Source organism: Homo sapiens, chromosome 2 (genome assembly GCF_000001405.40).
Source record: "Homo sapiens chromosome 2, GRCh38.p14 Primary Assembly".
NCBI classification, from domain to species: domain Eukaryota; kingdom Metazoa; phylum Chordata; class Mammalia; order Primates; family Hominidae; genus Homo; species Homo sapiens.
Window position 1 is genome coordinate 195,651,895 of NC_000002.12, and position 24,999 is coordinate 195,676,893.

The window sequence follows — 24,999 nt, forward strand, 5'->3', positions numbered from 1 at the left end:
AAATTCTGTAACTTATTTGAAGATATTTTTTTCTGAGCCAAACATGAGTGACCAATGGCCTGTCACACAACCCCAGGAAATCCTTAGAATGTGTGCCCAAGGTGGTAGTTAAGCAACAGCTTGGTTTTATACATTTTAGGGAGATATAAGACACAATACATGTACGATGTACATTGGTTTGGTCCAGAAAAGTGGGACAACTGGAAGCAGGGGCTGGTTCCAGGTCTTAGGTGGATTCGAAGATTTTCTGATTGGCAGTTGGTTGAAATAGTTTATCTACAGACCTGGAATCAATATGAGGGAGTGTCTGGGTTAAGATAAGGGGCTATGTAGAACTTGGGGATAAGTAGTCAGAAAAGAAATAAAATTTAGCCTAGGCGTGGTGGCTAACACTTGTAATACCAGCACTTTGGGACGCCGAGGCGGGTGAATCACTTGAGGTCAGGAGTTTGAAAACAGCCTGGCCAACATGGAGAAAACCCGTCTCTCCCCCAAAATACAAAAACTAGCTGGGCGTGGTGGTAGGTGCCTGTAATCCCAGCTACTCGGGAGGCTGAGGCAGGAGAATCGCCTGAGCCTGGGAGGCAGAGGTTGCAGTGAGCCGAGATCTCGCCACTGCACTCCAGCCTGGGCAACAGAGTGAGACTCATCTTAAAAAAAAAAAAAAAAAGAAAGAAAATTTTAAAAAAAAGATAAGGGGTTATGGAGACCAAGGTTCTTATTATGCCGATGAAGCCTCCACCTAGCAGGCTTCAGAGAGAATAAATTGTGTTTCTTACCAGACTTTAAAAGACGCCAGACTCAGTTAATTCTCTCCTGGATCAGGGAAGAGACTTGGAAAGGGAAGGGGATTCTCTACAGCAGGGGTCCCCCAGCCACTAGACTGGTTCGGGTGCATGGCCTGTTAGGAACGGGGCCACACAGCAGGAGGTGAGTGTCAGGCAGTGAGCATTACTGCCTGAGTTCCACCTCCTGTCAGATCAATGGTGGCATTAGATTCTCATAGGAGCACAAACCCTATTGTGAACTGTGTATGTGAGGGATCTAGGTTGTGCAGTCCTTATGAGAATCTAACTAATGCCTGATAATCTGAGGTGGAACAGTTTCATCCCAAAACCATCCCCACCCACCCCCATCTGTGGAAAAATTGTCTTCCAGGAAACCAGTCTCTGGTGCCAAAAAAAGTTGGGGACTGCTGCTCTATAGAATGTAGATGTTTCCCACAAGAGACAGTTTTGCAAGGCCATTTCAAAACATGTCAAAGAAATATATTTTGGAGAAAAATACTTAGAATTCTTTCAGAGCCTGCTATCTGTCATGTTGGTATCATTGCTACAAAAAGTCTCTTTCATCAGTCTTAAGGTCTGTTTTAATGTTAATACTGGTCATCTGTGCCTGAATTTTTTTTTTTTTTTTTGAGACAGAGTCTTCTTCTGTCACCCAGGCTGGAGTGCAATGGCACAATCTCAACTCACTGCAACCTCTGCCTCCTGGGTTCAAGCGAGTCTCCCTGCCTTAGCCTCCCGAGTAGCTGGGATTACAGGTGCCCGCCACCATGCCTGGCTAATTTTTGTTATTTTTAGTAGAGATGGGATTTTGCCATGTTGGCCAGCTGGTCTCGAACTCCTGACCTCAGGTGATCCACCCGCCTTGGCCTCCATAAGTGCTGGGATTACAAGCGTGAGCCACCACACTCGGCCTGTGCCTGAATTTTAAAGTGAGGAGAATATAATGAGGCATGTTTAACCATCCATTCCCATCATGCCTGGTACTAGTGTTTCAGGTTAACTTTGGAATGCCCTTGGCAAAGAAGAAGTGACCATTCAGTTAGTTGGGAGGCTTAAAATTTTATTTTTGGTTCACAGCCTCTCTAGGCATAGCTTTGTCTAAAGTAAACTTTTAGGCCATGTAAAAGTAACAGTTTAAACTGGAGATGAATTTAGGAAGGGGTCTTTATCATTGGTTATTACTAATCTTGAATCACGGAAAGAACAAGTGAGTTTGAAAGGCCTGATTTCTTAGAATTAGTCGTGTTCTTTTTTTTGTTTGTTTTGTTTTTTTGAGACGGAGTTTTGCTCTTGTTGCCCAGGCTGGAGTGCAATGGCATGATCTCGGCTCACCGCAACCTCCACCTCCCAGGTTCAAGCGATTCTCCTGCCTCAGCCTTCCCAAGTAGCTGGGATAATAGGCATGTGCCACCAAGCCTGGCTAATTTTGTATTTTTAGTAGAGATGGGGTTTCTCCGTGTGGGACAGGCTGGTCTCAAACTCCGGACCTCAGGTGATCCGCCCACCTCAGCCTCCCGAAGTGCTGGGATTACAGGCGTGAGCCACCACGCCTGGCAGAATTAGTCATGTTCTTTATAGATTTCATTAAAGACTCTTAATTTTGTTGTGTATGATGACTATTTTCTCCTCTGTAAGAGGGAAACCCAGGTTTATGACATGGACTTCCTTCAGCCACTGCTAAAGATTGGGGTATGAAGTAGGTTTCTTATTTCCTCTTTTGTATTAATAGTTGGTTCTTTTCAAATCCTCTGAGGGGCAAAAAGACCCTTGGATTTACTATATCATGTCTCACAAAGGTAGACTGGTCACATTTGAAATTTTAGATATGTGAACTAATATTGTGGCTGAAGCAGCATGAATAAGCTAAACAGTGAAAGGTAAACCATTTACACATAATTCAGTACCTCTCTTTCCCCCAGGTACTGAAAATCATTTATACTATTTTTATAGTTGAGATGAGCTTCTTTATGAATCAAGTGAGGTGGCTGGAAAAAGAAAATGTCTTACACTTTCAGAAAGTTTTATGATTATAACATATTAGAAAGTCTTTACCCTAACATATTTCTTATATATAAAACTGGTAAAGATAAAATGAAATTCATATATTGTTGCTGTAGTGTCCATTATTTGACTCAGCAGGTGATTTTGTGTAAGCCTGCAAGTCATTTTCTGAGATTCCTTTTCTCAGTAGGAAAAGTAATATGCTAGTATGCAGAGAATCATTTATTCTATCTGATAATTTTGCTTGAAAATCTGCCCAAATCAGTGTGTATACACTTGAAAGTAAATAAATGTTTGGGTGAGTTTAAAAAGTGTTAGGAGACACAGTCTCTATTTTCAAGTTGCTTACCACATAGTTTTCTATAGGGATGACATTTAAAATATGTAACAATTAGTAAAGAATAGGCACCAACCAAGTAGAATGGGAGTGACTAATAAGAGCTGGGTCCAAAGGGCTCTATCTTAGCCAGGTATTAACCCACTAGTTCCTAAAATGTGGAGGTCTGGGGAATCTTGAGAGGAAGGACTGGCACAGGGGTGAGAAGCATGGGGGGATACCACTCAGAGTTGCAGCTGTTAACCAACTTGCATTGAAGTATTTCAGTATTTGATTAGTTGGTTCAGCCGTACTTGTGTGTACCAGCTGAACATTAGCCTTGTATATCCATAACTAAAAAAGCAGTGTAGGTGCCCTAAAATGTAAGGACTGCAAGCGCTATATCTTATTGATATTTGAAAGAAAGGTTATGTATGTTTTAAGGGTGTTGATAATAATGTGTTCAATAAAATAAGTATGAGCCATAAAATATCAAGCTAATTTGGAAGCTTCTTATGCTTTGCACACAAAGGATGTACTATCATGATTTTATGAACTCTAAGGACTTTAGTTCTAGGATGAACCTTAGAATATATTTAAAACGATCCCCTTAATTTATCAATGAATCTGAGGACCACAGCTATTGTCTCACATTTAGTGGCAATGGTGAGACTTGAAACTAGGACTCAGGCTTAATCTCTTTTCTCCACACCTCAGGACTTCTCCCTTTGTAAGCAGGAGTGAGGTCCATGCTCTGGCTTTCCAAACAAGGAAAAGGGCATATGAGTAGTTCAGTGTTCTGAACTACGTATGGCAATCAGTAGGCATTTATCAAGCACCATTTTCGTTGTTTTGGATGTTTTTTGTAGAGATACAAAACAAAAAATAACCTTCTTTCATGAAGGTATAATATGCAGGTTAGCGGGACTACCTAGCCGTCCATACTGAATGGGTTTGGAAATCCCAACTCTTTTCTCTACCTGCTCTGTGATACCAGGCAAGTTAAAGTCTTGTGTGCCTCAGTTTCCTACCTCACCGTGTTATGGTGATTAAATTAATATATATGTGGAGTACTTGACACACAGTCAAGCCTGCGATTACTGCTGTTCATGGTTTTATTTTCTCTACTAGACACCAGTAAGGCACCCCCAGAACTCGCTGTGTTAAGTAGATTCTGGTTGGATATAGAAACACAGGCACCCCAGGCGGAATGCAGATACGCCTCAACATGTGGATTAAGTAAGAGCCAGGAAGCAGAGTAATGAAGCAAAAATAAGACGTCCAGAGTCACCTTTTAAGAAAATGTGGGTTGGTGGTTGCTTAAGAGGGGAGGAGACAATTTAGATGGGATGTATGGCGTGAGCAAAGGGCAAGAATGAGCACGGTGTAGGCACAAGTCCATGGAACTGCTTGGCTGGATCGGGATTTTTTTGTCATAGAGTGTTAAGAAATAGTCGATCAGTTGAGGAGTAGAGGAGTGAAGACCTTGGAAAGTTGCCAAAAGCCTCGAGAATTTCTCTACATGTGTGACATGTTCTCAGGACTCAACTTTTTCTTTTAGGTTTGGAAGACCCGCAGTAAGTGTGCTTTAGAATTAAATGGGTGGGAAGGGGAGCTAGGCAAAACACCTCGCACTTAGCACTAAATAAAGTTCGCTGTTGCCCTAAGAGACTGAAAAGGTTACTTTAACAAAGGGGGCGGGGTTAACTTAACGTAGATGTTTAACTCGTATACAGATGAACATTCCAGTTGATCACTCTGAAGCTTTTTGGCTAAAGCGTTTGGGTTTAGAGCTTCCATTACTCATTCGCCTTGCCCAAGGCCTCAGCAACCGACGTTCGAAAGCCAGGAGAAAAGGCGAATGATAAAGGGCGCTCCACGCATGCGTTAAGAAGCCGCCCCAACTCCCCCGCGGCGTTCTTTCTTGGAACAAAACTAGCGCGGAGCCACGGAACTCCGCAGTTTGCGTAGACTTGAATTTCCTATTCCTCGGACGATCCATGTGGAATCCGTGAGTAGTGCGACTCCTTTACGCAACTGGCGTTATCCGAAGTGAATAGCTAGGTGGCGCGTGTACGCCCATAGCGTAGCACCCATAGGCGGACGGGGTGCGGCTGCGCAGGGAGCTGAGTGGACCTTGTACGCCGCAAGCGTAGCAGGGTGTCAGACGCGCCGGTTTCTGCGACGCAGTTAGCGCAGTCTGCTTTGGTGAATACACGATTTGGTGCAGCCGGGGTTTGGTACCGAGCGGAGAGGAGATGCACACGGCACTCGAGTGTGAGGTAACTATAAAACCCCGATTTGTTTACATTCCCTCCCCCAGAACCGGCCCCGTGCGCGGCGGAGACTGCGAGTCCCGGGACGGCGTGGGGGTAGAAAGGGAGAACAGAACCGGGGAGTCGGGGCTGGTTCCCTCGGGGATGCGGGCGCTGGGGTTCCCGCAGCTGCTGCAGTCGGCGGCGGCCAGCCGAAGCAGAGCGCGTGGTGGGCAGAGTGTTGGGCGCCGCGGCTCCTCGTGTGCGGTCTGGGCTGCTGCGGGCCGCGGGATCGGGAGCCGGCGGCATCCACTTCGCGTGCGGAGCCTCGCGCCCCCCTCACCTTCCTGTGGAGGTTGGCGGAGCCTCGCGGGCCGCGCCCGGGGTGGGGGAGTGACCGCTGGGCGGGTGGCGGCGGTTAGGGGGCTGCGCGCCGGCCGCGGATGGCGTCGCAGGCGCGGGCGGGCGAGGCTTTGGGGATCTGTAGGCAGGTCTTCGGGGGCTTGGCGACCAGCGCCCCGGTTTTTTCTTCTCCAGTCCTTCTCTCTGGTCTGTAATGGGGCGAGGGGACCCCGGGATGGAGCCTCGGCACCGCTGTTCCGGACCGAGGCTAACGGACGGCGGCGCCTCTGCTCCTACTAGTTTTCTCCCGGACCAACCGAAAAGCCGAGGCGGAGCGCGGGGGTGTGAAGATCTCGGCCTGCTGGGGGTCCCTGGAGCTGAGGGTGAGGGTGGGGCCGGGTCGGTGGGACAGGCCGGGTGGGCCGGAGGTGGCGCGGCCGCACGGCTTTGTTCCGGAAAGCCCTTAGGTGGAGAGCGATGTGGGGCGCGGCAGGGGGATCGCGTAGAGGAACCTTCGCGCACCGCCTCTCCGGGTCTGGGAATCTGCTGAACTCCTTGCCTCTCCTGGGGTCCCTCGAACGCCCCAGCTAAGAAGGGCGGGGGCCTTGCCAGGGCGCGAGCAACATGACGTTCAAGGTCTTCCTGTGGCTTCTGTAAAGAAATGTTCACGTGGGAGCCTGTCCACATGGGCTGTACTAAGGATCTGGCACGAGGAAGAAATATCACTGCAGAACCTGAAGCCCTCCGTTGGAAGGGTCGTTCACTCGAGTACCTATTCTAAGTAACAGTGACACAAAACACATGTTAGAAAAAAACAAAAAGTATGGTAGGTTATACTGTTTTTTAAAAGAAACTTTTATTTATGCCTTTTGCTGTTAAGTCCTCTAATTTTACATTGGAACTGAGTCATTCTTGGAGCAAAACTAGAATAGGTTTGTATTTGTTTTCTTTTTGGATGTGTATCTAAATTGTACATAATTAAGAAAAAGCAAGTAATGGAAAAGCTGGAGATGTAGAACTTAGTTCCTTCTAACTTAGTATGCAATTGAAAGCCTCAAGTCAAGACTCCTGTGTATTGTTTTGTATTAGGACTCTATTGTACAAATATTTGAGTACCTTAATATGAGTCAGTTACTTTTTCTAGATCTTGGATCCATGCCAGACAACGCACATTCTGCAGACACTGGTTACTCCAGTGGCTCCTTACTGGAAACATATAATATCAGTGATAAGTGCTGTGAAGAAAATAAAACAATGATGTGCTGGTATGGATTTTTAACTTTTTTATGTGATGAACCACAGAATGATGGTTTTAAATGTATGAAATACATAGAATTGCAACAGAAACCAGTTATGAAATAATGAAGATATTAAATATGACATCTATATTTTAGTAAAGCATTAGTGAGGACTGTAAATGATCTTTAAAGAATTTGGCTTAAATTTAATCTAAAATTGCTATCAGGTATTTCACATCGCTGTAATTTTTGCCTGCATTCGTAACTGAAGAGATAAGTAAATGTCAGAGGTTAAGATAAATCTTTTTCTTTTTTTACCTGTCCATATTTACAAACATTCTGCGTTCCGTACATAGACGCCTGGATAAGAACCCCTGTGCAAGAATGACTTTGGTGCTACTTTAAAAAAAGTGGTTGGGGAAGACCTCATAGGAAATGACATCAATAATAGATTGCATGATAACCTATACTAGTTCTTACTGTTACCAATTTAAATTCTAACTGCTTAAAAGCTAACACGGTCCTTCCCTTTTTTTGAGCACCTGATTTGAAGTACTTTGAGTAGGCCTCAAGTGTCGTATGCAAGTACTAATCTAGGGGGTGTGCCTTTTTCAAAAGTGATTTTTGGAGAAGATAGGATGTAGTATTATAGCAAGGAAAATTCAGCATCTGGGATGATCATTTCCTTCTGATTAGAGAAATTTACCTTGTTAATATTCTGTTCACCCAACCCTTCTACCCTCAGTGTTGACCAATACTGGAAAAAATTTAGGGCTTTGGAGTGAAATTTTAAAAGTTCAAAACCTTGATCTATTAATTAGTTTGCTTACCTTGAGGAAGTTGCTTATCTTAATCTTCTATTTGAACTTCAAGTACAAAAACCCTACTCACGGACTTAACTGTGACCATTAAATGAGATAACCAAAAGGCTGAAGATGATAGTGAGTTGATTTTACCTTTTTTCTACATACAGATGTTTCAGTTCTTTCATTAGTGGTTGAAGGTCTGCGTTCTTTTTCTCCCTCCACTCCCTCCTTGACTACCCCCAGAATGAGCTTTGATGGTCTCTACTGGGCCTTTGGGGGGGATACATTATCCTGTTGTTTTTGTTCTGTTACTTATATATAATACTCATGGATTTATTTCTACTTCTCTTCCATTTTCTAATTTATAATAACATGTGCATCTTGTTTTCCCTGCCAAACTAAATTTCGTGAGGGGGTACATACTGCACAGTTTTTTTTGTCACATACTGCTTATGACACATGAATATGCAGAGCTTGTCAAGCTCTTTAATTAAGTTTAAAATGCTAATTGAGTGAATCAAAACTTAACCATTATGGTTAGGCTAAAAATGTCAGCTTGTGTTTATATAGTGCTTACCTCAGTATTGGAAATGCCATGAGTTTAGTATCAGAAGGACATTATTACTAGTGCATTTTAAAGTGATACCAGTCATAGTTGCAAAAGAAAGTACACAATGGGAAATGGAAGAGAAATGTAGGGAATCAAAACAACTAGTTTTTTCCTTTATAACGGAAGTTTTATAATTCATCTTTTATGTAAGTGTAATTCTCATTAAAAATACCCTAAAGCTTAAAGTTTGCAAGGCTGCCCAGCCTAACCCACAACAGTTTGATGCTGCCCCCTAGCGTTTGATTCCCTTCACCTTTTGCTAAAATAAGGTAATGTTTAAATTACAATTAGATTTACTTACTGCTGTAAATCTGGTCTATTTTAGTTTCCTCTGGGTAGTTAGTGTTGCTAATAAGATGGACGTAAGTGTTTTTGAACTGGTGAATTCTGATTGCTTTTAGCCCCCAGTTTTCCAAATAGGGGTGAATTTTGGGTAGAGATAGAACAATCACCAAGTTACCTTGCTCCAAAAAAGAAATTTACGTATGGGATTGTTTTCAAAGCGGGAAGTTAGCTGTGTAAATAACAACAATTTTATATATTTAATCTGGGCTTCTCCTTATCTTGAATGATATAAAAATCTACTTTCTAGATTAATTTAGTTCCATATAACTTTGTATTGCTTTGACTGTACTGATAATAAAGTTTGAAAGTGTTAAATTTACATTGTGAGCTTTTTTTTAAAATTCGAATTTATTTTCTATGACTTTTATAGAATGATTCTTAAAAAATAGTTTCAAGGACCTCTTCATAGCCACAAGATTTCCTTTTTTATATCATTAATATTATTTTATGTGAATACTATAATGAAACCCAAGTATTCAGTTTACACACAGATATTATAACACAATATACCACTACACAAAGGCAATGAACAGATAACATTCTACAAAATCTACTTTACAGAAAGGATTTTCTGTAGTCAATGCAAACTCTTAAGGTTTTAGGTTTTATTTAGATTATTGCAATATCAGTATTTCAAACTCTTTTTTTTCTTTTTATTATCCCTTATAAGTTCTATGGATAGGCCACAGGATAACTTTTAGCTTTTTCTAAAATATCCAAACATATTCTCAATAAAAAATTAGTGGAATGCTTAAAAGTATAGTAGGTATGAAGAAATATAGAATCAAAATTACAGTTTTAAATAATAGTATGTATTTATTTATATAGAGACAAGGATCTTGCCATGTTGTCCAGGCTGGTCACAAACTCTTGGGCTCAGGCAATCCTCCCATCTTGGCCTCCCAAAGTGCTGGGATTACAGGCATGAGCCACCGTGCCCAGCCAGTAATACTAAATTATTTCCAAATTAACTGCTTAGGAGACCACATACAATGTTCAGACATGTTAAAACAGGACACAATTCATTGTATCACATCAGTAATTCTGTGTCGAATACTGTTTTCCTATCAGAACGTAAGGGTTTTTTTGGATTGCCAGATACAAGGAGTGGTTATTTAATAGATTTTTAATGGTAGATATTTTTATGTTAAAAGATGTTAGAATAGGATGCTACTGGTGATACAGGTTTGCAGGCTTGTACAAGTATAAGGACAAAATCTAAAATCTTGCTCAGGTAGTGTTTATTTTCACAATCTAAAAGTAAATATTTTGTCATAACCTTTTATAATCATGTTTTATAATTACTCATTTTTAGATACTGCTGAAAGGGAGGTATCAGATAATACTTATCCTTGTATTAATATTTCTAATCAATTTTACCCTTTTATATACTCGACTTTGGGGGACAGCCCATCCCGTTAAGATTTTTAGGGATTAGAAAAGCAAGAATGTTGTAGGATGTATCCTTATTAATATCATTATGTACTTCCATAGGACGAGAAGTATTGTTATAAGAACTGTGAACTACGAAGGAGGTTAATTTTAATCCTCTATAATGAAGATTTAATCAGTGATCACTTTAGGTTTTAGATTTTCATTGAATAAAGGAAGAAGAAAAACCTCAGTCACTTTTAGTGTAGTAAGAACATCAGAGATATGTATCCTACTGTGGTGTTCCCTTTTTTTTTTTTTTGTGAGACAGTATCTCTGTTCCCCAGGCTGGAGTGCAGTGGTGAGATCAGGGCTCACTGCAGCCCTGACCTCCTGGGCTTGGGTCATCCCCTTACCTCATCCTTCCTAGTAGCTGGGAATACGGGAGCGTGTGCCACCATGCCTAGCTAATGTTTTGTATTTTTTATTGTAGAGACAAGAGTTTCACCATGTTGCCCAGGCTGGTCTCAAACTCGAACTCAAGTGAGCTACCTGCCTTGGCCTCTTGAAGTGCTGGGATTACAGGCATGAGCCACCGTGCCCAGCCTATGCTATTACTTTAATATCTATAAATAAAAAGAAACAATTTCAGATATTCCTTGCCTTCCCACCTCTAGGCTTTTTTCTAAATTCACTTTTATATATTTGAATTTTTGAGTTTTAAAATAGTGGTTTCCCCTATAATTGTCTGCTGGATTGGCACTTTAAAAAAAAATCTGTAAATTAAATTTGGATCAGCAAACTATGGGCCAAATATCCCTGCTTCTGTAAATTGTTGGAACAAAACTTGCTTATTGATGTGTGTATTGTCTATAGCTGCTCTTGCGGTAAAATACTTTAGTAGAAAAATGTTCAGTCAAATGATCAATTCATAGGTAATGTGAATTTGCAGGTGTTCTTTACCTACATAGTAGAGAAGCTTTTTGTCTCTTTCCGCTTTCCATTTTTCCTCTGCAGAGGGAATTATGCTTTATTATGCTTGGAGTCGGAAAAGGAATGTGAAGCCCTTGGCCTTCAACTGTTGGTTACCACCGAACTGTCACACTGTTTGTAGCTACTTATGTAGCTCTCTCACAGTTTACCTTTTCTAATTGAAAAGCTGATTGTGTCTTCCTTGTAACTCTCTCAGAGCAGGAAATGGATCATATTTTTATGCCGCCTATGTCTCATGTCTTCTTTCCCTTCCCCTTTCCCTCCTATCTTCTCACTCCCCTCATAAAGCAATTCAAAACTGCATGCTTACAGGCCTTTAAACAAATATTTTGGTATATTAACTCAGTGCACTTCTACTGAAGATGACTCCTTACATTATTTTGCTTGCATGTGAAGAAATATACTTTGCACTGTGTTATAGAGGAACATAGCTTCTTGATGAAAGGGGCTAGGGAAAGATTTATTTAAATACTTTATCAATATAAATGAAACAATACATGGTGTGTTACTACATTATAAAATGAGATCAGTAAAACAATGTAAGAAAACGTAATAATAAGATAGTATAATATACACATAACGTATTCTGTGTATATATACATTATAAGGCAGTGAGATCATGTTTTCTATTCCCATGGACCTTTTTTAGAAAAGCATATCATATTTTCATAATTTTTTAATGTTTGGAATATACTGTTTTTAAGATTTTGATTTTATGGTGTTTCAAGAATATAGAAGTTATGAAAAAAAAAGAAATAAGAGAAAAGTAAATTGTATATTAAAACAGAAAAAAGATTTGGGTTTTAAATTAGGATAGTCTATAGTTTTTTTCTTTTTTTTTTTTTCAACTTTTATTTTAGATTCAGGGGGTACATGTACAGGTTTGTTACCTGGGTTATATTGTGTGATGCTGAAGTTTGGGGCATGAATGATCCTGTCATCCAGGTACTGAGCATGGTGCCCAACAACTAGTTTTTCAGCCCTTTCCCTCCTCCTTCTCTCCCGTTTTTTCCAAATAAAGTGAATAATTGAATGTATATAACATCTTATGAAAGCACATACAGTGTACATATAGAATTTATTTTCAAGCAAATAATCATGCCAGTTAAAAATTGAAAATCAGAAAGGTATGCTAAAGTTAAATCACTGAAATATATTAAGAAAAAAGTTCTTTAAATTCACTGTAAATATAATTTCATGGAATATATAATTTCTAAAACAAATTCTTAAATCTTTTTCTGTGAAGATTTTTGCGTAAACACAAGTACTTAAGGTTTTTTAGTTAACTGATATGTGTGTGAAAGTGTTGGATGTTAGTGCAACTGACATTTTTCTTTTTCCTAAAAAAGAAATAGATGTTAGGGGTTTTAGTTTTTTAGGAGTTATTTTTAATTATAGCTTTTCTTTTAAAAAAAAATAAGAAAATATACACTAAAATATGGGGAGAAAAAACTTTTAAAATTTAGCAGCAGTCATAGAAGAAATTGCAGAAACCTTAATAAGTTTCATTGCATGTACATGAAAACATCTATACATGAAAGGGAAAACATGATCAAAATAAAAAGGAACAGAACTGCAGGGTTTTTGCAGAAAATGTGACTGAATCATGTTATGTAAAAGCTCATATATGTTGGAAAAAATATTGAGACATCAGGAATAACTTTAAAAATATGAATTAAAAATAAAGTAAGACCTTTTATTTATTTAAAAATTTATAATAATGTGAATGAGAGTGCTATGATCATACTGCTGGTGGCAGTATAACCAAGCTTAATTTCTCTAGAAATCAATTTGGAAAGTAAGTATATGACAAAACCTGAAAAGTGTTAAAGTTTTTATAGTTTTTCCCCTCATCTTGGAATTCATTCGAAGCAAGTAATCAAAGATAATAGCACAAATTGGAATTAAAATGTTTGCATATTGTGTTTCAGACTGCAAACAGGCTGGGTGCAGTGGCTCACACCTGTAATCCCAGCACTTTGGGAAGCCGGGGTGGGAGGATTACTTAAGGCCAAGAGTTTGAGACCATCCTGGGCAACATAGGGAAACCACCATCTCGACAAAAAATTTAGCCCAGTGTGAGGTCGGGCACGGTGGCTCACGCCTGTAATCCCAGCGCTTTGGGAGGCTGAGGGGGGCTGGATCACCTGAGGTCAGGAGTTTGAGACTAGCCTGGCCAACATGGCGTCTCTATTAAAAATACAAAAATTAGCTGGGTGTGGTAGCAGGTGCCTGTAATCCCAGCTACTTGGGATGCTGAGGCAGGAGAATTGCTTGAACCTGGGAGATGGAGGTTGCAGCGAGCAGAGATTGCGCCATTGCACTCCAGCCTGGGTGACAGAGCGAGACTCTGTCAAAAAAATGAATAAATAAAATTAGCTGGGTGTGGTGCTGCGCACCTGTAGTCCCAGCTATGTAGGAGGATGGCTTCAGCCCAGGAATTTGAGACTTCAGTGAGCTATCATTGCACCACTGCACTACAGCCTGGGCAACAGTGGAAACCTGCCTCAAAAAATAAATACTTGAAAAACCCACAGACAAATGCTTGTGAAAATCTTAAAGCTAGAATTCATTTTCTTCCACATGTGACATTATTTTATTGGTTTGTCAACTAAAATTTAATTTATAATTGCCAACTTTTAGGTTTTTTTCAAAGTTATACATGAATATAGTTTAAAGAATCAAATAGTTGTGTGAAGTTTCTTGGGGGGAAAAATCAGTCCCCTGTCTGTTCCTTTCATATTCTGCCTAGAGAGATAAGGAACCCCTTAATTCCTTTAGTTGATTATTTTGCTATTCATTACCATGTCTCCAGATAACATGTTCATTACTTGCAGCTGATTTTCAGTTCTAACCATTATCTATTTAATGAAGAATGATTTTAGTGCTCTTTCACTTCTGTGCATACCTTCCTATTTCCTGTACTCCAGTTTCTCCGTACAATTTTCATTGTAATTTTGGTTTAGAACAGTAATTGGGGTTACATTTTTATGCTATAAATATTATTTTATACAATGTGCCATTGTAATAAATGACTACTTTCCTGCACAACTTTGTTTTTTCTGGTAATAATTAGCTTGATTTTTTTGTCCTTTTATTTAATATGCATATATTAAAAGACCCCAGCTCTGTGTTTCTGAATGTAGCTATATAAGAAAGGGGAATGTGGTCAAGACTCTATGTTCAAGAATTTTATGTAGTTTTAAAAAATTAATTGGACAGAAAGCTCCCATGTTGGGGAATAAGTAGCCTCTGTGTTGTCTGAAACATAAAAAAAGTCAATGTTATACAAAGATTGACTTGGAGATTTTTTGATTATTTTTTTCCCATGACGTCATGGAAAAGAAGGATCATTTTAGCTGGCAGTTTTTACAATGGCAAGCTGGTATAAAATCAAGGATGTATAACAGTGACAAGACACTGAAAAAGGGAAGGGTGAAAATGCATGGAATAATAAAGATTTGAGGTAGTGCAGCAGTAGCTATTTTTAGAATAAAGACAGCTGTCAGTGATGAGTGGAAAGAGAACAATAAGCTGTTGCCAGGCTGGAGTATAGTGGTACGATCACAGCTCACTGCAGCCTTGACCTCCCGGGCTCAAGTAATCCTCCCACCTGAGCCTCCCAGGTAGCTGGGACTACAGGCATGGGCTACCACACCTGGCTAATTTTTAAAACATTTTCTGTAGAGATGGGGTTTGGCCATGTTGCTCAGGATGCTCTCAAATTCCTGGGCTCAAGCCATATGCCTGCTTTGGTCTCCCAAAGTGCTGGGATTACAGGTGTGAGCCACTGCATCTGGCTGGTTAGCACTGTAAGTCTGCTTCATAATGCATGTAACTAAAATCATAAACATTTTAGTAGCTTCAAAAGACATCCCAACGACTGCATTTACTAATCTCAGATGTTTGTATTCACAAATAGCAGAACAGAGGTAGCAATATTACAGGTAGCTTTCTCCAATATGGTTCCAGGTTCCCTGTAATGAAAGGCTGAAAAGCAGAAATGCAGGTAATTGTTTTGACATTTGATGAGAAAATGTAGGTTTGTACATGAATGTATAGAATACAATAAAGATAGATATGATGTGTTGTTGATTGATTTGATACTTTAAATCAAGGTATAAATGTTTATATTCTCTCTCAAGTTAGTGAAACAGGAGAACTGAGTTAATGCCCAAGCTTAATTAGCATGCACTTAACTTTTTACATGAATGAATCTCAGTGGAAAGATTGGGTTGCCTGAACTGTGCTTTTATTTATTTATTGGAAGAGTTGCAGTGGCATTCCAAACTGTGAATATGATTTCCAGTAGATTAGATAGCTGGTGAAGTAGGGGGATGAAAAAGCAAACCATGAAGCTGTAAGAGGATTTTGTGGTCCCTGCTGAGAACTCATTACTAAAATACTTTTTATCCCTTGAAGAATATTCTAATGTCAGTGAAACTGGTAAGGTGTAGTGAGTCTTTCCAACTTCTGCTCAGATACTAGTGAATTGGGTGCCTCCTGCAATCTAGAGCAGGTCTTGGATGTGCTAACGATGCATGTGCTCTTGTAATATTTTGTTAGCATTCTTTCAAAAGAGTCACAACAGAGAGACTCCTCCCCCTCCACCATACTTTTTGTAATTTAAGTGAAAGATACATAATACTACATCTAATAATGGTAATACCTTAGGTTAATATATTTAATTGCTTTACAAAGCAGTTTCGTATACATTGGTTTATTTGGTGGATAAGTGTAGGTATTATTTTCCCTGTTTTGCAGAGAGAAAACAGTGGCACAACCGGGATGAACTAGAGACAGAGGTTTCTGATTCCTGGTTCTGTACTGTATACAAAATACCACATTTAATGGATATACGAGAAGTAGGGACAGAACTCAATTTATATTATTAATAGCTTGCACTTAAATAACATTTAAATATTGCAAATAATGTAGGAAAATTAACAAATATTTTACAAAAATATGTACGTAATTTTATTTTGTTCTTATAGTTACCATAAAATAGAACAGAAATTAACAGTCCCACTTTATAAGTAGTAATAAGACTTAAAGTGGTTAAGGGACTTGCTCAAGGACTCATAGCTAATAAATGGCAGAGTCAGATCTCTAACATCTTTGACTCCTAGGCTAATCTATCTTCACTATGCACACAGCCTCACTGCTTCTCTGTTACTCTGTGTGTGCCATTACTGAATCACAGAAGGAAACTAAATTGATATTTGACTACCTACATTGCTGTCAAGATAAAGTTTGATAAAGCCATTCAGTCATATAGATACCAGCTGTGTTTATATGATTGAGGCTATAAAACTGATTTCAACCATTTAAAGTAGTCCTGTAATGAAACTTTTAAAAAATGAAGTCCTTTATGAAATTAGGAAACTGTATATACATTTATTGAATAGATTTTCACATTAAGTTTACTTAAAACATGGTATATTATCCAGGATGAGGGTTTTAGTGATTAATCTTTTGGTTTCTACCTTATTTACCTTCAGAATAGCAATCTGGAACACTGAAAAAGCTTGCTTTAAAACCTTGCTAAGCAACTTATAGTATCTTTCCCCATCATTATTAGCATATTTTGTGTGTTTGTGTGCATGTGCACATGTGCATACACACATGGGTATGAAAGAAAGAATTGCGATACAGATAATAACTTCTCATTCTTTTATTTGGTCTTCATTTTCCTTTAAAAAAATACTCCCTAGAGTAAAAAGAGGTTTTTGTTGTTGTTGTTGTTTGTTTGTTTTTTGGTTGTTGGTTTTGGTTTTAGTGAAATGAGTTAAGTAGATTACACACAGGCAATAAGTACTAAATTGATCGGGCCGGGTACTGTCGCTCGCACCCAGCACTTTGGGTCACATCCCAGCACTTTGGGAGGCTGAGGCGGGTAGATTACCTGAGGTCAGGAGTTCAAGACCAACCTGGCCAACATAGTGAAACCCTGTCTCTACTAAAAATACAAAAATTAGCCAGGCAGGCGCCTGTAATCCCAGCTACTCAGGAGGCTGAGGCAGGATAATCCCTTGAACCTGGGAGGCAAAGGTTGCAGTGAGCCGAGATCGTGCCACTGTGCTCCAGCCTGGGCAACAGGGTGACTCCCTCTCAGAAAAAAAAAAAAAAAAATTACTAAGTTGATTGGCCTCTCCAGCAGTTGGAACTAGGATTATTTTAGTATTTATCTGCTATTTTTCTTACTATGTCAGACAGTCATTTTGTTAAGTAATCTAAATTTATTCACAATGTCTTGGTTTTTTCTATTGAGTAAGTAGTATTAGGAGACAATTTCTTTTCCCTTAAAAAAAGTCTTTGTAGTATATTTTAGATGACTTTAATAAAGATCTCACAGTGTTCTGGTTTCAAGATACACAAATATGCTACTGTAGTAGACTAAAGAGCCCCTGTCTTTCAAGTCAGAGAAATGCCACAGACTTGAAATAACAGCTTAATCACGTTAGATACCTTTTCTGGGTCTTAGATTCCTTGTACATAACATTATTTAGCTAAATACACCTGAGGATTTTTAAAATCTCAAACATTCTACATTTTTATTATGTTCATCTATATGAAATAAAAAACAATCTAAGACAAAATATCTGTAGGAAGATTTGTCATGTTAACCATTTGTATATATTCCTACTGAACTTGTTATTTAGGTGTTTAATTTTATTTAAAATTTTTAAAATTTGTAGCTTGGCATTTTACACATTTCAAAACTACAATCCAAAGCCTATAGTTAAGGTTTTTGTAGGCTGGGCACGATGGCTTACACCTGTAATCCCAGCAGCTTGGGAGGCTGAGGTGGGGAGGATCCCTTGAGCCCAGGAGTTTGAGACCAGCATGGGCAACATAGTGAGAGCTCATCTCTATATGAAAAATAAAAATGAATAAATGTCTTTAAAAAAGGTTTTTGAGCTGGGCGCTGTGACTCACACCTGTAATCCCACCACTTTGGGAGGCCAAGGCGGGTGGATAACAAGTTCAGGAGATCAAGACCATCCTGGCCAACATGGAGAAATCCTGTCTCTACTAAAAATGCAAAAATTAGCTGGGTGTGGTGGTGTGTGCCTGTAGTCCCAGCTACTCGGGAGGCTGAGGCAGGAGAATCGCTTGAACCCTGGAGCTGGAGGTTGCAGTGAGCGGAGATCATGCCACTGCACTCCAGCCTGGTGACAGAGCAAGATTCTGTCTCCAAAAATAAAATAAAAAAGTTTTTTGTAAGCTTTTACAGGAGAAATTGCTATGGAGAATATCAACCCTAATTCCTTTTTTTTTTTTTGACAAAAATAGTATATATTTATTATGTACAACATGTATTTTGAGACATGTATACATTGTGGAATGTCTAAATTGAGCTAACAAATACATTATCTCACATACCATGTTTTTTTGTGGTGACAACATTCAACAATATAGACCATTTCACAAATTTGCATGTTATCTTTGTGCAGGGGCTATGCCAATCTTCTCTGTATTTTTTCAATCTTGGTGTATGTGCTGCTGAAGCACACACCCTAATTCCTTTCATTTAAGGATCTAGTTAACCTTTCTCTTAAGTATAACCATGTATTTTGTTAAGCAATATCTTTTTATTACAAAAATGCCATTTTTTTCTGGTTAGAAAATTGATTTTCTATTACAATATTTTTTAGAGTGTGTGTAAAACCTGATGAAATTTGAATAAGGTTCGTAGTTAATAGTATCGATGTCAGTTTCTTGGTTTTGAACATGTACTACAGTTATGTTAGATGTTATTGGGAAAAGTTGGGGAAAGAGTACATGGAAACTCTGAACTAATTTTACAACTTCTTGTGAATCTTAAATTATTTCAAAATAAGTTAAAAAAAGCACATTTCCCTTTGCGTATTATTAAGTATGGATGTGTTTCTAGAAATTATGTGTTACTGATTTTACTAATTGAAGGTTGGAATAAACTTCATGTGGGGAATAAAAATTAAGTTTTGGATGAAATATAACACAGCTACAGAAAAGTACTCAAATGTTAAGTGTAAAATTCAAGCAGTTTTCATGAAGTGAAGTGCAACCATGTACCCAGCACCCAGGTAAGGAAATAGGACATTAATAGGAACCCAGAATTCCTCTCATGATTCTGCCCAGTCACTCCCCACACCAAAGTATAATCACTTCACTACATATTTAGTTCTGGTTTTAGTCTTAAATACAAGAGAATATTAGTGAACTTCATTTTTTCTTTGCATCCAAAGCAAAATATTTGCATTCAAAATAGTATAATAATTAGCACAATGATTAAGTTCCTAACTGTAAATTAGCCCCACTCTTAATGCAGAAATTATACAGTGATAGAATACTTAGGCTTTTAACTGTGGTTATGTATTGGAAATCAACAGCAAAAGATGAAAATAAATTTGTTGTGGCACTGCTAGTTATTTACCGGAATCCCTTTTCCCATTTCTTGTCAGTAGCCTCATCCATTGATGTTGACAGCACCTAGCAGAACTCTTCAGTAGATGTAACTCAGCTGAACTGAAAAAATATTATCAATTATAAAACTAACATATTCTTAATGCATAAAACTTGGAAAACTCCAAAACACAAGAGACATAATAGAATATTTTGGCTTGGGCAAAGCTGTGTCCTATAAATGTCAGTTTTTAGGGTTGAGTGGTATATGGGCTTCTACCATTTCCCCCATTCCTGTCTCCATCTCAGAGATCCTCTTTGTGCTGTCGATGGAAAAGATTGTTAACATCTACTGGAATGCTTGGGAAACTCTGTAAGTTGGTGAGACCCTGGCCTCCTAGCCAATTGAGATCATGTGACTAACCCCTTGCCAATGGAATGTGATGAGAAGTGATGCCTGCAACTTCTACTTCCCTTGATACTGAAGAAGAAACTTCTGAACCTGGACTTCCATTCTTTCTCTTTCCCTGTTGGCTGGAATATCAACTATGTAAGAATGTTATGTCTCTGAATGACTGGAGCGGAGCTGCACTCAGACCCGGAGCGGTCATCTTTTTTTTTTTTAATGTCCAAGTGATTTAATATGGAGTAGTCATCTTCAACTGTTATTGAGAGAGACAAAAACTTGCCCATTTCTTAAACCACTGCCTTTTGAGAGGGGTCTCTTTGCAATCAATAGCTGCTTAGCCTGTGATAACAAAATGCATATTTCATCTAAATGATTTTTTTTTTCTTTTGAGACAGGGTCTTGCTCTGTCACCCAGGCTGGAGTGCACAGCACAGCACGATCTTGGCTCACTACAGCCTGGCCCTCCTGGGTTCAATCAATCCTCCCACCTTAGCCTGTTAAGTAGCTGGGAGTACAGGCATACACCACCACACCAGCTAATTTTTTACTTTTTTTGTAGAGATAAGCTCTCAGTATGTTGCCTAGGCTGGCCTCAAACTCCTGGGCTCAACCATCCTCCTGCCTTGGCCTCCTACTAAAGTGCCAGGATTACAGGCATGATCCACCATACCTGGCCTAAATGATTCTGAAAGCATACATCTGCTATAGTAGTTCTAAACTAAAGTTGCAAAGTTAGTGAATGATTTACTTTAATAAATAAAAAAAAGCACAGGTTTAGTATTACCTCATAACGTTGCTTGTATCATTGTATTCCTATATTCTCTTAAATGTAAGTGATTAGAGTACTCAAGATACTTAAAATCTTTTCCATAATAGAGTATGATGTATTTAAAAAGTAGAGACAAATGACGTTTTAAAGCTTGTGTAAACCATCTACAGCTTTTGTGTTTCGTGGAGTCATTCATTTGATGATGTCTGATCAATATATATGAATGTCCTGTTTCCACCTCTGGTACCTATTCATTTGACAGTGAGATAACATGCATTAAAGAAACCTCATGGTATTTACATATCAGCTGAATGAAGCAACACTCACACCTTTAATTAGCATCTTCTAGTGGAAAATCAAGGTAACTGCAGGGAGTGTAACAGGGAGCTAAAGGAATATGTATCTTCCTTTGCTTAACAGTGGTCTTAATCACCCACGCCTTTTTATCTTCATTAGTGTACGAGTAAAATTGATACACCGTTTAAATGGTGACTTTATCCATGAGACTGTGAGATTAAAAAACATCTCAAACTTAATGCTGCTTTGGAATTGTTTTATAGGCTATTTTAAAAAATGCTTAACCTATATATGCCATATATGATAATTCAACTTAATTTATTCAGATAGATCATAACATTCAGTTGACTAAACTATTATTTATTAATTTATTTTGAGACAATGTCTCTTATTGCCCAGGCTGGAGTGCAGTGGCAAGATCAGGGCTCACTGCAGCCTTGACCACCCAAGCTCAGATGATCCTCCTACCTTGGCTTCTGACACGCCACCATGCCCAACTAATTTTTTTTGTATTTTTTTTGTAGAGATGGGGTTCTGCCATGTTGCTCAGGCTGGTCTTGAACTTGCGCTCAAGATCCGCCAACCTCTGCCTCCCAAAGTGTTGGAATTGCAGGCGTGAGCCACAGTGCCCAGCCCAAAGTATCATTTTAGAGAAATGGAAGTGTTTGGTAATTTATTTGTATAAATAGGCACTCTCAAATGTTGTCTAGCTTGCATCAAACTCACTAGAAAGGCTGGATAAGTCATTGCTAATTTATATGTGTAAATAGGCACTCTCAAATTTTGTGTAGCTTGCATCAGACTCACTAGAAAGGCTGGATAAGTCATTGCTGGGTCCTATCCCTAATGTTTCTGTTATAGTAGGTCTGGGTGGGATGCAGGAATTTGCCTTTCAGATTTCTAGCAAGCTTATGCTGCTCTCACAACCACAGTTTGATTAACCACTGATGCAGGTTATGTGGTATCTTTTCAGATTTATAGAAAAGTACACAGAAGAATAATCAAGCACCTGAATCCCATTATCTTGCTTTAACAAATATTAAATGTTTTATCATATTGCATTAGATCCCTTTCCCTTTTTTAAAGAAATAACACACTGCAAATGCAGTTAAATCTGTGTACTTCCTCTATCAGCTGATTTCCCTCCTTCCCTTTCTGAGAAGATAATGACTCCAGAATGTAATCATCCCATGTTCTCTTGCTACATGAATATATACCCCCAAATAAGTAATTCTGCATGTTTTAAGATTGTCTGTAAATTATACAGCATGTATCTTTTTGCAATTTTAAAAATTATATTTCTGAGATTATTGCATGTTAATACAAAGTCCTTCATAGTCACATTTATAACTGCAGTGTAATCTTTAAATAAATATACCATATTTATTTATTCTAATGATGAGCATTTAGGTTGTAGCAGGCAACATAATGGTTACACAGCTGACCACTTTTCCTTATTTTATTTTATTTTTGAGACAGAGTTTTGTTCTCGTTGCCCAGGCTGGAGTGCAATGGCATGATCTCGGCTCACTGCAACCTCCGCCTCCTGAGTCCAAGCGATTCTCCTGCCTCACCTTCCCGAGTAGCTGAGATTACAGGCACCCGCCACCAGGCCTGGCTAATTTTTGTGTTTTAGTAGAGATGGGGTTTCACCATGTTGGTCAGGCTGGTCTTGAACTCCTGACCTCAGGTGATCCACCCGCCTCGGCCTCCCAAAGTACTGGGATTATAGGTGTGAACCACTGCACCCGGCCTGCTTTTCTTTATTTACCTCCTTTTTTCTTGAGGCCTCTTATTCCCCCATGTTCTGTGAGTATTGCCTCTCCCACATACAGTCATATGCATTGCTTAATGCTGAGTATGTTCTGAGGTGCAGGCTTAGGTGATTTTGTCATTGTGTGAACATCATAGAGTATACTTAGACAAACCTAGATGGTGTAGCCTGCTATACACCTACCTATAGAGTATAGCCAGTTGCTTCTAGGCTACAAACCTGTTGATATACTGAATACTGTAGGCAGTTGTGATACAATAGTAAATATTTGTATGTTTAAACATAGAAAAGGTACAGTAAAAATTCAGTATAAAAGATTTTAAAAATGGTACACCAGTGTTGGGCACTAATATGAATGGAGCTTGCAGGACTGGAAGCAGCTGTGAGTGAGTCAGTGAGTGGGCAGTGAGTGAATGTGAAGGCCTGGGACATTACTATACACTACTGTAAACCAGTGATTGGCTTTAGCATGGGCATGTGGTAGAGACCTGACTGATCAAAGATACGTAAAGAGAGGCTTGAGGGAAATATTTTTCTCCCTGGATAAAAAGAGAGACATGAAGATGAACCTTCCATCCAAACAAGATTTCTGAGGAGGAAAAAAAATAAAAATTGTATTTTAAAAAAGATAAATCTTCCAGTTTTGAATATGATTATGCAAGGTTATCTTGGGACTCTGAGGGTAAATTTGAGCGTGCTTGGATTTTTGGTACTGTCCTAGAATCACCCATTTCTCCTGACTTCTTTTTATGTGAAAGTTTTCCTCTGTTTTACCCACTTTGGTTGAGTGTTCTGTTATTGCAATAGTTCACATTAGAAAAACATTTACAATATTGTAATAAGGATTCTCTTTTTTTGAGACATAGTCTCGCTCTGTCGCCCAGGCTGGAGTGCAGTGGCGTGATCTCAGCTCACTGCAAGCTGCGCTTCCCGGGTTCATGCCATTCTCCTCAGCCTCCCGAGTAGCTCGTACTACAGGCGCCCGTCACCATGCCTGGCTAATTTTTTTGAATCTTCAGTAGAGATGGAGTTTCACCGTGTTAGCCAGGATGTACTCGATCTCCTGACCTCATGATCCACCCACCTCGGCCTCCCAAAGTGCTGGGATTACAGGCGTGAGCCACCATGCCTGGCCCCAGTAAGGATTCTTGAATGTGTCTTTGCGTGCCTAAGTGCAAGGGTAATTAAAATGGAACTTGGGGGCTGTAGAGTGTGTTCATATTTGGCTGTAGTAAATGTCAAGTTGCTTTCCAAAATGGCTGTACCAATATATACTTCCACCAGACGCATAAGGTAGTTTGTTTCTTTATATTAGACCTTTACTTAACATCTAGTATTGTGAGATACTAATTTTTGCCTGTTACTGTCTTAGAGCCTTATCTAGATTTGAATTGCCTAGATTATTAGTCATCATGTTGCTGTTTTACCAACCTGTTTTATGTTCTTTTCATAGTTGTCTATGTAGTAGTGGAGTTTTTTTATTACTATATGTGCTTTATATACTCTGGATACTGATGTTTTATATACATTGTTTATATATACACATTGCAAATATCTTCTAGTATATGGCTTGCTATAAGCTTCCCCCTCCCCTGCCGCCACCGAGACAGAGTCTTGCTGTGTCTCCCAGGCTGGCAGGCTGAAGTGTGGTGGCACAATCTTGGCTCACTGCAACCTCCACCTCCCGAGTTCAAGCAATTCTCCTGCCTCGGCCTCCTGAGTAGCTGGGATTATAGGCGCCTGCCACAGCGCCTGGCCTATAAGCTTTTTTTTTTTTTATAGTGTCCTTTATTATAGAGTATTTTTTAAAGAATTTAGTTAATCAAAAATTTTCATCATGATATGTGCTTTGTGTCTTGCCTAAAAAATATTTCCCTATCCCAAAGACATAAAGACATTCTCTTACATTTTCTTCTAGAACTTGTTGATAATTTTGCTTTTCACATATAGGTTTTTAATGTTCTTGGAATTGACTTTTGTGTGTAGTGTGAGGAAGAAACATTTTCACAGTCAATATTATTGATGCTCTTTCAGAACTCTGTTCCACTCCACTGGCCTATCTACCCCTGTGCTAGTTCTATGTTATTTTCGTTAGTATAATTTTATAAAAAGAAGTCTTTAATACCTTGCTAATCTTCTGAATTGTCTTGATTGTCCTTGGGTTTTTGCTTTTATGAGTTTTTGAATGTGCTTATGAAGTCTCACCAAAACTAAACAGCTACCAGGATTTTAACTGGCATTGAGTTAAATTTGTATATACACTTGGGAAGATTTTATGTACCTTATGCAGTATATCC

At 39.0% G+C, this 24,999-nt stretch overlaps 1 protein-coding gene and 1 pseudogene across 10 annotated transcripts in view, besides 3 other annotated features; one reads left to right on the plus strand and one right to left on the minus strand.

Annotated features, from left to right (window-relative positions):
- The window catches only part of SLC39A10 (solute carrier family 39 member 10), a 124,672-nt gene that overhangs the window by 38,866 nt on the left and 60,807 nt on the right, over positions 1-24,999 (plus strand). For 3 of the 10 annotated variants that reach the window (XM_005246689.5, XM_011511507.3, XM_017004523.2), the window contains exon 1: positions 5,332-5,715. The exons of 1 other annotated variant lie outside the window; for it this stretch is intronic. In XM_005246689.5, the coding sequence (XP_005246746.3) occupies positions 5,364-5,715 (352 nt within the window). In that variant the 5' untranslated portion in view covers positions 5,332-5,363. Of the gene's footprint in view, positions 1-5,063; positions 5,117-5,331; positions 5,716-5,771; positions 6,086-19,762; positions 19,827-23,567; positions 23,841-24,999 lie in introns of those variants that run through there. 6 more of the 10 variants (XM_047445143.1, NM_001127257.2, NM_020342.3 and 3 more) reach the window with 6 other exon arrangements.
- Positions 5,601-5,650: a silencer, noted in NCBI's record as "silent region_12199". NCBI's record gives its function as "represses an Ori minimal core promoter by ATAC-STARR-seq in GM12878 lymphoblastoid cells {active_cell/tissue: GM12878}" and the evidence as "EXISTENCE:reporter gene assay evidence [ECO:0000049][PMID:35858748]".
- Positions 5,681-5,800: a silencer, noted in NCBI's record as "silent region_12200". NCBI's record gives its function as "represses an Ori minimal core promoter by ATAC-STARR-seq in GM12878 lymphoblastoid cells {active_cell/tissue: GM12878}" and the evidence as "EXISTENCE:reporter gene assay evidence [ECO:0000049][PMID:35858748]".
- Positions 6,001-6,100: a silencer, noted in NCBI's record as "silent region_12201". NCBI's record gives its function as "represses an Ori minimal core promoter by ATAC-STARR-seq in GM12878 lymphoblastoid cells {active_cell/tissue: GM12878}" and the evidence as "EXISTENCE:reporter gene assay evidence [ECO:0000049][PMID:35858748]".
- On the minus strand, positions 18,478-18,580 carry RNU6-915P (RNA, U6 small nuclear 915, pseudogene; annotated as a pseudogene).